This window comes from Homo sapiens, chromosome 19 (assembly GCF_000001405.40).
Source record: "Homo sapiens chromosome 19, GRCh38.p14 Primary Assembly".
Lineage (NCBI taxonomy): Eukaryota > Metazoa > Chordata > Mammalia > Primates > Hominidae > Homo > Homo sapiens.
The window spans coordinates 53,013,377-53,027,094 of record NC_000019.10 but is presented as its reverse complement, the minus strand read 5'-3'; the positions used below and the strand labels follow the sequence as shown (position 1 = coordinate 53,027,094).

Sequence of the window (13,718 nt, the reverse complement as noted above, 5' to 3'; positions counted from 1 at the left end):
CCACTTTGGCCTCCCAAAGTACTGGGATTACAGGTGTGAGTCACTGAGCCCAGCCAACCTCCCCATTTTTACACTTTTTTTTTTTTGTTTTTTGAGAGTTGCTCTGTCGCGCAGGCGGGAGTGCAGTGGTGCATCTCGGTTCACTGCAACCTCCGCCTCCCAGGTTCAAGCAATTCTCCTGCCTCAGCCTCCTGAGTAGCTGGAACTACAGGCACGCGCACCACGCCCAACTAATTTTTGTATTTTCAGTAGAGGTGGGGTTTCACCATGTTTGCCAGGACGGTCTCGATCTCTTGACCTCATGATCTGCCCGCCTTGGCCTCCCAAAGTGCTGGGATTACAAGCGTGAGTCGCCACACCTGGCCTACACTTTTTTTTGTCTTTTTTTTTTTTTTGCTTTTTGTGGAGAACAACGGGGTCTTGCTATATTGCCCAGGCGGGTCTCGAACTCCTGGGCTCTAGCTATCCTCTCGCCTCTGCCTCCCTGAGAGCTGGGATTACAGATGTGAGCCACTGCGCCCAGAGAACCTCCCCATTTTTAAATGCAATATTTAACTTCCTGTCCTCATCTTTCTCTTCCTTTTGGTAGTATGTGGTACAGTTGATCACTTTCTCTTCTACGAGAAAGAAAAAAGTTAAATGTTTACTTAAAACAGGTGAGGAAATAAATCATTTCCAATTTCTTTTGTGGTGTGGGAGAGAGTTGTTTGAAGACCTTGTCCCTATCTGATCTGCTTCCCCAGGACATCTCTGACCTTATCTCCTGCTAGTGAGCGCTCACTCCGTCTGTTCCAGCCACACAGGCGTCTTCCCTTTTCCTGTGCTCTGGGTTGTTTCTTTTTTCTGTCTTTTTTTTTTTTGGAGACATAGTCTCACTCTGTTGCCCAGGCTGGAGTGCAGTGGCACGATCTTGGCTCACTGCAACCACCGCCTCTCTCGGGTTCAAGCAATTCTCCTGCCTCTTCCTCCCGAGTGGCTGGGATTACAGGCGTGAGCCACCACGCGTGGCTAATTTTTGTATTTTTAGTAGAGACGGGGTTTCACCATGTTGGCCAAGCTGGTCTGGAACTCCTGACCTCAGGTGATCCACCAGGATTGGCCTCCCAAAGTGCTGGGATTATAGGTTTGAGCCATTGAGCTGGGCCATATGTCTTCTTTTGAAAAATGTTCATGTCCTTTGCCCACTTTTTAATGGGGTTGTTTTATTCTTATAATTTTGTGTAAGTTCCTCATAGATGCTGGATATTAGACTCGTCAGGTGCATAGTTTGCACAAAAGTTTCTCACATTCTGTACGGTTTTCTATTCATTGCGATAGTTTCTTTTGCTATGTGGAAGCTCTTTGGTGTAATTAGATCCCATTTGTCAATTTTTGCTTTTGTTGTAATTGCTTTTGGTGTCTTCGTTATGAAATCTTTGTCCATTTGTATGTCCAGGATGGTATTGCCTAGATTATCTTCCATGTGTTTTATAGTTTGGGATTTCTCATTTAAGTCTTTGATTCATCTTGACTTAATTTTTTGTGTGGTATAAGGAAGAGGTCCAGCTTCAGTCTTCTACATGTGGCTAGCCAGTTATCCCAGCATCATTTATTAAGTAGAGAGTGTTATCTCCATTGCTTGTTTTTGTCAGCTTCATCGAAGATCAGATAGTTGCAGGTTTGTGGCCTTATTTCTGGGTTCTCTGTTCTGTTCCATTGGTATCACAGACCAGAAGTTTTAACTTGACGAAGTTTCATTTATCATTTTTTTCCATGCTTTTGGTGTCATATCTATGAACTCTTTGGTGTGCTTGTTCCCAATTAGTTTACAGTATGTTTTTCTAATTCTTGATAGATTAACATTTGATGGTTTCTTTATTTTGCATTTCACAACATGGTCCTTTTTGAATGAGTGTCAAATTTAGGTGCAGATTGATCTTTTTTCATTGTGGATATTCATTTGGTCCAGCACCATTATTTGAAAGTCCTGCTTTCAATTGCTTTGGTATCTTTTTTTTTTTTAATTTTTTTTTTGAGATGGAGTCTCACTGCCGCCTGGCTGGAGTGCAGTGGCATGATCTCGGCTCACTGCAACCTCCGTCTCCTGGGTTCAAGTGATTCTCCTGCCTCAGCCTCCCGAGTAACTGGGATTGCAGGCACGTGTCACCACACCCAGCTAATTTTTGTATTTTTAGTAGAGACGGGGTTTCACCACATTGGCCAGGATGGTCTCAATTTCTTGACCTCGTGATCTGCCTGCCTCGGCCTCCCAAAGTGCTGGGATTACAGGCGTGAGCCACCATACCTGGCCTGCTTTGGTATCTTTATCAAATATCAGTTGAAAGGAAAATATTTGTGCATTCTCTATTCTGTTCCATGGATATATATATCACTCCCCACCAATGCCATGCAGTCTTTTTTTTTCATGCAGGGTCTCATTCTGTCACCCAGGCTGGAGTGCAGCGTTCATGATCTTGACTCACTCACTGCAACCTCCCTCTCCCAGGTTCACATGATCCTCTCATCTCAGTCTCCTGAATAGCTGGGACCAAAGGCATGTGCCACCATGCCTGGCTGATTTTTGTATTTTTTTGTAGAGATGGGGTCTCTCTATGTTGAGAGAAAAATAAGGTGCCCACATTCATAAATGCAAAAAAAATTGGCAGTATTTAACAGGAAATAATGTTACCTAAAAATAGTGAACTAGGAAGTGATATATCTTCATCAAATTGACAAACATCTGGGACATGTTACAGAAAGTCACACTAAAGTCAGAAATGACACTAAGGAGCTTCTAGTCTCCTCTTATCCAACATCATCTTGGAGGGAATAGCCAAGGAAATTTAAGAAGAAAGAGCAAGATGGGAGACAAGAATTGTCAATTATAGAGGTAAAAGTCATTCTGGAGCAAGTGATTCAATTTCTGTGTAATATATGGTTTTGAACGAATTTCTTAGTCTTGATTTCTGACTTGATTGCACTATGATCAAAGAGGTTGTTATGATTTCAGTTATTTTGCATTTGCTGAGGAGTATTTTACTTTCAATTATGTGATCTATTTAAGAGTGTGTGCCGGCCAGGTGCCGTGGCTCACGCCTGTAATCCCAGCACTTTGGGAGGCTGAGGTGGGTGAATCATGAGGTCAGAAGTTCAAGAGCAGTTTGGCCAAGATGGTGAAACCCCATCTCTACTAAAAATAACAAAAATTAGCCGGGCATCATGGCAGGTGCCTGTAATCCCAGCTACTTTGGAGGCTGAGGCAGAGAATTGCTTGTACCTGGGAGGCGGAGGTTGCAGTGAGCCGAGATCGTGCCACTGCACTCCAGCCTGGGGGACAGAGTGAGACTCCATCTCAAAAAAAAAAAAAAAAAAAAAAAAAGGAGTGTGTGCCATGTGACAATGGGGAGAATGTATATACTATTGTTTTTGAGTAGAGAGTTCCGTAGATGTCTGTCAGGTCCATTTGATCCAGTGCTGAATTCAAGTCCTGAATATTTTTGTTAATTTTCTGTGTGAATGATCTGTCTGATATTGCCAGTGGGGTGTTAAAGTCTCCCACTGTTATTATGTGGGAGTGTAAGTCTCTTTGAAAGTCTCTAAGAACCTGCATTTTGAGCAAGTTCCTGCATTAGGAATACAGGGTGCTCCTGTGTTGCGTACATATGTATTCAGGATAGTTAGCTCTTCTTGTCAAATTGAACCCTTTACCATTATGTAATGCCCTTCCTTGTCTTTTTAGAATCTTTGTTGGTTTAAAGTCTGTTTTGTTAGAAACTAGAATTGCAACCCCTGCTTTTTTTTTTCTTTTTCTTTCCTTTTTTTCTTTTTGAGTTGGAGTCTTGCTCTGTTGCCCAGGCTGGAGACCAGTGGTGCAATCTCAGTTCACTGCAACCTCCACCTCCGGTGTGCAAGTAATTCTCCTGCATCAGCTTCCCTAGTAGCTGGGATTACAGGCACAAGCCCCCATGCCCAGCTAATTTTTTGTATTTTTAGTAGAGACAGCATTTCACCATGTTGGCCAAGCTGGTCTTGAACTCCTGGCCTCAAGTGATCCTCCTGCCTCGGTCTCCCAAAGTCCTGGGATTATAGCCATGAGCCATTGCACCTGGCCCCCTGCTTTTTTTCTGTTTTCCATTTTCTTGGTAGATTTTTGTCCATTTATTTATTTTTTATTTTTTTATTTTAGGAGTTAGTTTATTAGGGGAGGAAGGATATTGTATTGTATAGACATGACCAGTCCTTCTTTTTTAAAGTTACCCCACCCTGAGCCTAAATATTCTAGTTTTTCATTTTCTTTACCTGCAAAAGAGGCATGATGGTATTTATTTTAAATATCATTATAAAGGCAAAATTTCATAAATTTTTTCACTAATTTTACATTCTATAATTACTCTGCTTTCCTAATAAGCAGGTTTTTTTTCTCTTTTTTTTATTATTATACTTTAAGTTTTAGGGTACACGTGCACAACATGCAGGTTTGTGACATATGTATACATGTGCCATGTTGGTGTGCTGCACCCATCAACTCATCATTTAGCATTAGGTGTATCTCCTAATGCTATCCCTCCCTCCCCCCACCCCACAACAGTTCCGGGTGTGTGATGTTCCCCTTCCTGTGTTCATGTGTTCTCATTCTTCAATTCCCACCTATGAGTGAGAACATGCGGTGTTTGGTTTTTTGTCCTTGCAATAGTTTGCTGAGAATGATGGTTTCCAGCTTCATCCATGTCCCTACAAAGGACATGAACTCATCATTTTTTATGGCTGCATAGTATTCCATGGTGTATATGTGCCACGTTTTCTTAATCGAGTCTATCATTGTTGGACATTTGTGTTGGGAAAACTGGCTAGCCATATGTAGAAAGCTGAAACTGGATCCCTTCCTTACACCTTATACAAAAATTAATTCAAGATGGATTAAAGACTTACATGCTAGACCTAAAACCATAAAAACCCTAGAAGAAAACCTAGGCAATACCATTCAGGACATAGGCATGGGCAAGGACTTCATGACTAAAACACCAAAAGCAATGGCAACAAAAGCCAAAATTGACAAATGGGATCTAATGAAACTAAGGAGCTTCTGCAAAGCAAAAGAAACCATCAGAGTGAATAGACAACCTACAGAATGGGAGAAAATTTTTGCAACCTACTCATCTGATAAAGGGCTAATATCCAGAATCTACAATGAACTCAAACAAATTTACAAGAAAAAGACAACCCCATCAAAAAGTGGGCGAAGGATATGAACAGACACTTCTCAAAAGAAGACATTTATGCAGCCAACAGACACATGAAAAAATGCTCATCATCACTGGCCATCAGAGAAATGCTAATCAAAACCACAATGAGATACCATCTCACACCAGTTAGAATGGCGATCATTAAAAAGTCAGGAAACAACAGGTGCTGGAGAGGATGTGGAGAAATAGGAACACTTTTACACTGTTGGTGGGACTGTAAACTAGTTCAACCATTGTGGAAGTCGGTGTGGCGATTCCTCAGGGATCTATAACTAGAAATACCATTTGACCCAGCCATCCTATTACTGGGTATATACCCAAAGGATTATAAATCATGCTGCTCTAAAGACACATGCACACGTATATTTATTGTGGCACTATTCACAATAGCAAAGACTTGGATTTTTGTCCATTTCTTTATTTTAAGCCTATGTGTGTCACTGCTTGTGAGATGGGTCTCTTGGAGACAGCATACCAGTGGGTTTTGGTTCTTTACCCACCTTGCCAGTCTGTCTCTTAATTGGGGCATTTAGGCCATTTACTTTTTTTTTTTTTTTTCCTGAGACAGAGTCTTGCTCTGTTGCCCAGGCTGGAGTGCAATGGCATAATCTCAGCTGACTGCAGCCTCCGCCTCTGGGGCTGAAGCGATTCTCCTGCCTCAGCCTCCTGAGTAGCTAGGACTATAGGCATGCACCACCATGCCCAGCTAATTTTTGTGTTTTTAGTAGAGATGGGGTTTCACCATGTTGGCCAGGCTGGTCTGAAACTCCTAATGTCATGATCCACCCACCTCCACCTCCCAAAGTGCTGGGGTTACAGGCATGAGCCACTGCATCCAGCTGGCTGCCCATTTACATTTAAGGTTAATATTGATATGTGTGGATTTGATCCGTTATCATGGTGTTAGGTGGTATAGTGTAACTGATCTATGTCCTTTAGTGTGTTTTTGTAGTGGTTGGTAATGGTCTTTCCATATTTAATGCTTTCTTCAGGAGCTCTTGTACTGCAGGTCTGATGGTAATGAATTCCCTCAGCATTTGCTTCTCTGAAAAGGATCTTATTTCTCTTTCGCTTATGAAGCTTACTTTGGCCAACTATGAAATTGTGGGTTGGAATTTCTTTTCTTTAAGAATGTTAAATATTGGCCCTCAATCTCTTCTAGCTTGTAGGCTTTCTGCTGAGATGTCTGCTCTTATGGGCTTTCCTTTGTAGGTGACCTGACCTTTCTCTCTAGCTTCCTTTAACATTTTTTCTTTCATTTTGACCTTGGAGAATCTGATGATTATGTGGCTTGGGTATGATCTTCTTGTGAAGTATCTTACTGGGGTTCTCTGCATTTCCTGAATTTGAATGTTGGCCTCTCTAGCTAGGTTGGGGAAGTTCTCATGGATAATATGCAAAAATATATTTTCCAAATTGGTTTCACTCTCTTTCAGGGACACCAGTGAATCATAGATTTGGCCTCTTTACATAATCCCATTGTTTTATGTGTTTGTTATCTTTCTTGGATTGGGTTTCAACATACTCCCATAGCTCAATGAACTTTGTCCTTATCCACATTTTGAGTTCTATTTCTGTTATTTCTGCCATCTCTGCATGGTGCAGAAACCTTGCTGGAAAGGTGATGCAGTTGTTTGGAAGAAAAAAGGCACTCTAGCTTTTTGAGTTTCCAGGGTTCTTGCACTGATTCTTTCTCATCTTTTTGGGCTTATCTACCTTCAGTCTTTGAGGTTGCTGACCTTTGGATGAGGATTGTTTTTTGTTTTTGTTTTTTACTTTTATCATAACTATTTGATGACCTTGAGGGTTTGATTGTGGATTGTGGTATAAGGTGGATTCAGCTGACTGGCTTCATTTCTGGAAGATTTTAGGGGGCCAGCACTTATCTGGACTGTGTGCTCTAACTTTAGGGGACTTGTATTGGGCCCCAGTGTTTTCCTCTGACTCCTCAAGAGCCAGAGTGCTAGAGGGCGCCAGAGTACCTGCCTCCATGCAAGTGTTCACCACAGTGGCAGAGACAATGCAGCTGGGTCAGGGGCTGGGGTCCCCTTCTGGAGATTGTGTGCATGGTTACACTAGAGGTGGTATTGGCTTGGGAGTGGGGTGCCAGTGGCCACCATTCTGGGTGCCTTCTCTGCCCTGTAAGCAAGAGTGGCACCAATCTTTTTTAAAAGACTGGTAGCAAACCTACCCTTAGTTTGAACTCACAAAGGAGAAGGAGGAATTACAGTTATGTTGCAGGTCTCCAAACAAACCCAGGGCCATAGGAGACAATCATGTCAGGGAAGGCTGGGGCAGCTCAGTGGCCTTGTTTTCTCCTTGGGTGCTTGATACAAGCATAATGCTGCCTGCTGCTCCATGTACCTCCCAGCATCTGGAGGATCCTGAGGCTCAGTGGCTTCTTCCTATGGGCCCCATATGTGCTTGGTCCCACAGGTCTTGGTGGTTTGAGACACTCCTACAAAGCATTTCTCCTCGGAAGGTGATTGGGGCACCTCTTACCAAGAGAGCTACAAAAGTTTGAATCTCTTTTTTCCTTTCAAATTTTTCAGGATACTCAGCTCTTCCTTAAGGTGATTGAGATTGGGATAGAGAGGGAAGGAAGAGTCAGGGGTAGAGAAGGAGAAGGTTTCTGAATGCCAGGAAGCAAGACATCATTGGCAGTAATTTTGAGCAGTTTGGTGGCTGCTCTGGTTTCAAGCAAGTGAAGTTTTAATGTTTCATATTTTAATGTTTCATATCCACCCTAAGTGCCCTAGCAGCTTTGGGGACCCTGTCCTTATTTCCTGCCAGGTGGGGGAGAATAAATGATAACCAAACACCATTAAGGTGGCTTTTTTCAATCCAAATTCCCAAAGCACAATTAGTAGGTAGGACAGTAGAGACTCTCACTCCCCTTCTCACTCATCACTTATGCCAAAGCATTTGTTACTGGTAGTCTTCCACACCCTGCTCATAAAAAGCCCTTGCACTTTTCTGTTTCAGAAACCATGTGTCTATCACAAGCTGATTAGTACGGAAGAAACTCAGATAGAAAAAATTGCTGGGCACGATGGCTCACGCCTGTAATCCCAGCACTTTGGGAAGCTGAGACGGGCAGATCACCTGAGGTCGGGAGTTCAAGACCAGCCTAACTAACATGGAGAAACCCCATCTCTACTAAAAATACAAAATTAGGCATGGTGGCACATGCCTGTAATCCCAGCTACTCAGGAGGCTGAGGCAGGAGAATCACTTGAACCCAGGAGGTGCAGGTTGTAGTGAGCTGAGATTGTGCCACTGCACTCCAGCCTGGACAACAAGAGTGAAACTCCATCTCAAAAAAAAAAGAAAAGAAAAGAAAAGAAAAAGAAAAAAAATTAAGCTGGTGTGGTGGCTCACACCTGCAATCCCAGCACTTTGGGAGGCCAAGGTGGGTGGATCACTTGTGGCCAGGAGTTCGAGACTAACCTGAGCAACATGGTGAAACCCTGTCTCTAGTAAAAATACAAAATTTAGCCAGGCATGGTGGTGTATGCCTGCAATCCCAGCTACTCAGGAGGCTGAGGCACGAGAATCACTTAAACCCATGAGGTAGAGATTGCATTGAGCCAAGATCATGCCACTGCACTCCAACTTGGGCAACAGAGCAAGTCTGAGTTCCACCATATTATTTAATAAACATTAATAGAGGAAATGCTCTTTTTAGATCCTAACTGTAAGGGTATATTCAATTACATTTTTAAAAGCTATATCTCTAACCCATGATGATTAAAGTAAATGAGTGAAAACTCCGTTGGGTGTGGTGGCTCATGCCTGTAATCCCAGCACCTTGGGAGACCAAGGCAGGCTGATCATCTGAGGTTGGGAGTTTGAGACCACTCTGGCCAACATAGTGAAATTTCATCTCTATGAAAAATACAAAAATTAGCCAAGCAAGGTGGTGTACACCTGCAATCCCAGCTACTCAGGAGACTGAGGCACAAGAGTTACTTGAACCCAGGAAGCGGAGGTTGCAGTAAGCTGAGGTCACCCCATGGCACTTTGGCCTGTGCGACAGAGCGGGACTGTCAGAAATAGAAAGAGAGAGAGAGAAAGATTTATTCTATGTAATTCCCACTTATTGTAAAACTGAAAATAACAATGAATTATCAGTTTTATACCTACTTACGTAAAATTACTTCATCTTTCAATTAGTATTGCTATTACTGTTTATGGTTATGGAGCAGAAGCTCAGTCTGTTTTAGTTGCAATACGAGAGGGTGGTGCCTCATTTTGTGCTATGACTCCACAGTGGATGAGTGGAGAAAATTAGTAAATATTGTGCAAAACCAAACAATTTATATGTTTCTGATAAGATTTAAAAATTCTGTATTCCTTGTCTAGAGGGCAAAGCAAAGACTAGATTCTGTGGAGTCACTTATGAGCAAAAAGAAGCTGACAGCTTCAAAACATGTATTGATTAAGGTAGAAGCATTCACCAGCCACCAACTGGGATTGTTTATTTATTTTTTTCCTTTTTGGTGAGGATTTCTGGGTTTGGCAAATATTATTTTGTCTTTAATTATATTTTTCCCAAGATATAAAAAATGGAGTAAAGAGTGTTTCTTCAATGATTTCTTGGATAATTGAGTACAGTTTGTATTTACTAGTTTAGATATACTAAATCCTCCATTGCTTCTTCAGGAGGGATTGCACAAAGACCTTTGTTACCAGGAGGGGTGTGGAGGTCCTTCAGTTTATCTTCCTGAAGGAAAGAATTCATCTAGGAGGCACACAGAAAGAGTTAAATCGTTAAGTAACCTTTATTTAAAGACAGGAGGTCAAGAAGAGACAGAACTGGCTGCTGCAGAGAGTGAGTCAGCTGCTAGTGACTTAGGAGGAATTCCCCGCCGCCCTCCCCAGATGGAGTCTCCTGTAGCCCAGGCTGGAGTGCAGTGGCGCAATCTTGGCTCACTGCAACCTCCGCCTCCTGGTTTCAAGTGATTCTCCTCCCTCAGCCTCCTGAGTAGCTGGGATTACAGGTGCGTGCCACCAGGCCCGGCTAATTTTTTTGTATTTTTAGTAGAGACGGGGTTTCGCCATGTTTGTCAGGCTGGTCTCAAACTCCTGAGCTGTGATCTGTCTGAGGATCCGCCCAAGGAAGTGCAGGGATTACAGGCCTGAGCCACCATGCCTGGCCTGGGAGGAATTTTTATGGGGGCTTTTAAATAAACAGTACACCCTGAAAGACAGAACAGGCTGGGCTGCTCAAATGAATGAGTCTGTCTCACCAATGCTGGGGAGACGCTTCTTTTTGTTTGTTCGTTTTTTGAGATGGAGTTCCCCTCTCGTTGCCCAGGCTGGAGTGGAATGGCACGATCTTGGCTCAACACAACCTCTGCCTCCCGGGTTCAAGCGATTCTCCTGCCTCAGCCTCCCAAGTAGCTGGGATTACAGGCATGCGCCACCACGCCCAGCTAATTTTGTATTTTTAGTAGAGACGGGGTTTCTCCATGTTGGTCAGGCTGGTCTCGCGCTCCCGACCTCAGGTGATCTGCCTGCCTCAGCCTCCCAAAGTGTTGGGATTACAGGCGTGAGCCACCACACCTGGCTGGGGAGATGCTTCTTATGAGAATTTTACATGATTATTCATGAAGGGGTCATGCAGGGGCGTTACTAGTAAGCATGTGTTGGGAACTGGTCTGGGCACACATGTGCCATGTCATTTGGATCTAAAGTCTAACAAGGAATTTCTGGTTAAAAAATAAAATCTCCACACAGGTGTGTGGTTTTTTTTATTATTTTAATGAACAAAATGGTATATTAGGGTGAATTATTAGAGAAGTATACATGCTTCTTAGTGGGGAATAGCTCCTACCTTGGTAACCTCTGGCTGGGCCTTGATAAGTTCCCTTCTGGAACAGAGGAATGCAGCCACAAGGCCAGGTGTAGCCAGTGTAGCCACGCTCCTCCTTTTGCTGACTCAGCGTGCAGCGTTTCCAAGGAGGCCATCAGCGGGCTGCATTTCTAAAGATTCCTTTCCCAGGGGCTTCCTTGCCTGCTCTTGTCTGGCTACCTGCCTACCCTAACAGTATTCCCCCTCAAGAGTTGGAGACCCTGAAAAGCTTTGGGCATAAGGACGTCGTGGGTCTTCTGTAACTACTTCCTGCTGACGTGGGACGAAGAAGTCATCAGGGTCTCCCTCTCTTGCTCTCTGTCAGGGAAGGAGCCCCTCCGTAGTTGCAGAATCTTTGCCCACTGGCATCCAAGGGAGATATGTACTTGTAGGTGCTGGGACCTCCAAGGAAGATTGGATGATCTCTTTCCATTTTTAGGGGCTCTGTGTGAAATTGCCATATCCTGGAAGAGACATATTTAATTAGTGAATTATAGAGACAAGGGCCAAAGAGGAGAAAGCAGGCTATTAAGTGCAGCTGGTCCCAGTAAAGGGACAAACCATGTGAGGGAGGGGAGGGCAGACTTCACAGCCTCCCAAATGGACCCTGCTGAATCACCTTTTCCAAAGTTATGGAGCCACGTAACCTCATCATAGATCTTTTTTATATCCTCCTCTATCGCCCCACTGTTATTGACATAAATGCAACAGGATTTACTGATCACTGCACAGACTCCACCCTGCTCTGCTAAGAGGTAATCTAAGGCCAATCTGTTGTTCATGACTACATTTGCTAGAGAATCTATGGAGGCCTTGAGTTTAGAGATGCTATCTCTGGTACTCTTAGCTATGTTGTCTATTTGTCTGGAGAGATTTCTGAGGGTGACATCATGATAAGTGAACCCTCCCCATGGGGCGATCATTCCTATGGCCGCACCCATCCCTGCCAGTATTAGACCCAGAGCTCTTTTCTGTCTGGGTTGGGTGGTGTTATAAATGGTCACACCTATCCCCCGTGGTCCCAAAAGTCCCACAGCACATTCTCCCGTATGTTGGATGTTATTAATGCAAGTGTAGAGGTTTGCCACAGGGGGGGTTGAATAAGTTATCTTAGGACTTCCATCAAAGGGCAGTTTATTTTTTTGTGGCCCACATAAAAATACATAGCCAGGAGGGGTACAGGCCCACCGGGGGATGTGGCTGTCGAACCACTTGTGTAACTGCGATTTCCACCCTGCTGGAATAGTTTGATTGCATGCAGGGGATAGAGGCCCTCCCAGGGGAACAGTAGATTTTGGCCATGTGGGGACAGTGTGTGCCTTGGGAAGCAAATATAGAACCCTCCATGTGATTAGCTCTTTTCCTTCCCAAGCTGCACAGCGGTTTTGGGGTGACTTGTCTCGATAATCGTTCATTTGTTTAGCTGGACACCAGTGAGTCAAGTTAGGGTGGCAGCCTGCTGGGGAGAAGCTCATGGGATGGATGGTGGGACTGGGGAATCCCTCCTCAGAGGTGTTCTTCCTGTCACAGTGTCCTTCAGGGCATGGACAACAGGTTTGGTTTAGAGAAGAGCAGTTGTAGAAATAGAAAGAAGTTTTAGAGCTTTGATTGAAAGGTGGAGTGAGATCCAGGCAGGGGACTTGGTGCGCTGAGTTAGCAAGCGAAACCTGGAGCGGAACAGATTTATGTTGGCCTTCAGGGATTCCTGAACCAAATGTTAGGTTTAAAGAAAAATTTCTTACCAAAATATATTGGTAAGATGAGGACCTGGTGATGAAGTTGTGGCAGATCCAACAGTTGCTTAGATGGTTTCCCGAAGCAATTATTTTGGAAAAACTGACAAGGGAATTTTCATTCCACTGTGCCTGTGAGAGTAGGGGCATGGGAAGGAGGGAAAGATAAAGGAAAAGGAATTTCTCTGTCATAGCTGATTCTCCCTTAAGCTTTGTGAAAGCAAAAGGAAAGTGCTGAAAATAGGAGAGACAAATAATGAAATGGTTCGATGGAGTGTTTAGTGAGAAATCAGGCTGTTATCGGGACTTCAGGTGGCATGCCAGTGTGGGTCAAAATAAGGAGAAGAACCGATGCCACCGCAACCAAGATTCCCCGTACTGAGAGACCTTTTTTTGAGGTGAAAGGAGAGAAGGCTTTACTTATCTTTTCACTTGAAGAGGAATTGGAAGCTCTCCAGTGGCTGGCTCATGAGACTACTCAGATGCTGATTCTGTTGTTGGTTCTTCGGGACCTTCTCACAGTTTTACTCAGGAGTGATGTATCCAACTAGAGATTCCAGAAACTTTGATAGCTGTCGGGGTAGAAAGTAATAAAGGGGCCTTTCCATAAAGGAGAGACCCAGGCTAGTTGAGACCTGGGTGACCCATCTCTCCAGGTTTTGATGAGGACTTGTGACCCTGGCTAGTATAAGGGTTGATTACTGGAGGGGTCAGTGGCAGGCAGTACCTTTTGCTCAAACTCCTGGATGGCTTGTTGAAATTGGGCCAGTGATGTTATGTATTTGATTAATTGGGTAACTTCTGGATCTAACATTAGGTCTGCATGTAGGAAGGCATAAGTAATATTAGGGGTCATGCTCAGAACAGTGCTACGGACAGGAGTTCTAACCATGGTGAGGAGGTTTC

General features: G+C 43.8%; 1 protein-coding gene and 1 long non-coding RNA gene across 2 annotated transcripts in view; one reads left to right on the top strand and one right to left on the bottom strand.

Annotated features, from left to right (window-relative positions):
- The window catches only part of LOC124904758 (uncharacterized), a 31,324-nt gene that overhangs the window by 10,789 nt on the left and 6,817 nt on the right, over window positions 1–13,718 (top strand). The window lies entirely within an intron of this gene.
- On the bottom strand, window positions 10,972–13,174 carry ERVV-1 (endogenous retrovirus group V member 1, envelope). Its single transcript, NM_152473.3, has one exon. The coding sequence runs from the start codon at window positions 13,002–13,004 to the stop codon at window positions 11,571–11,573; it is 1,434 nt and encodes a 477-aa protein (NP_689686.2). The 5' UTR covers window positions 13,005–13,174; the 3' UTR covers window positions 10,972–11,570.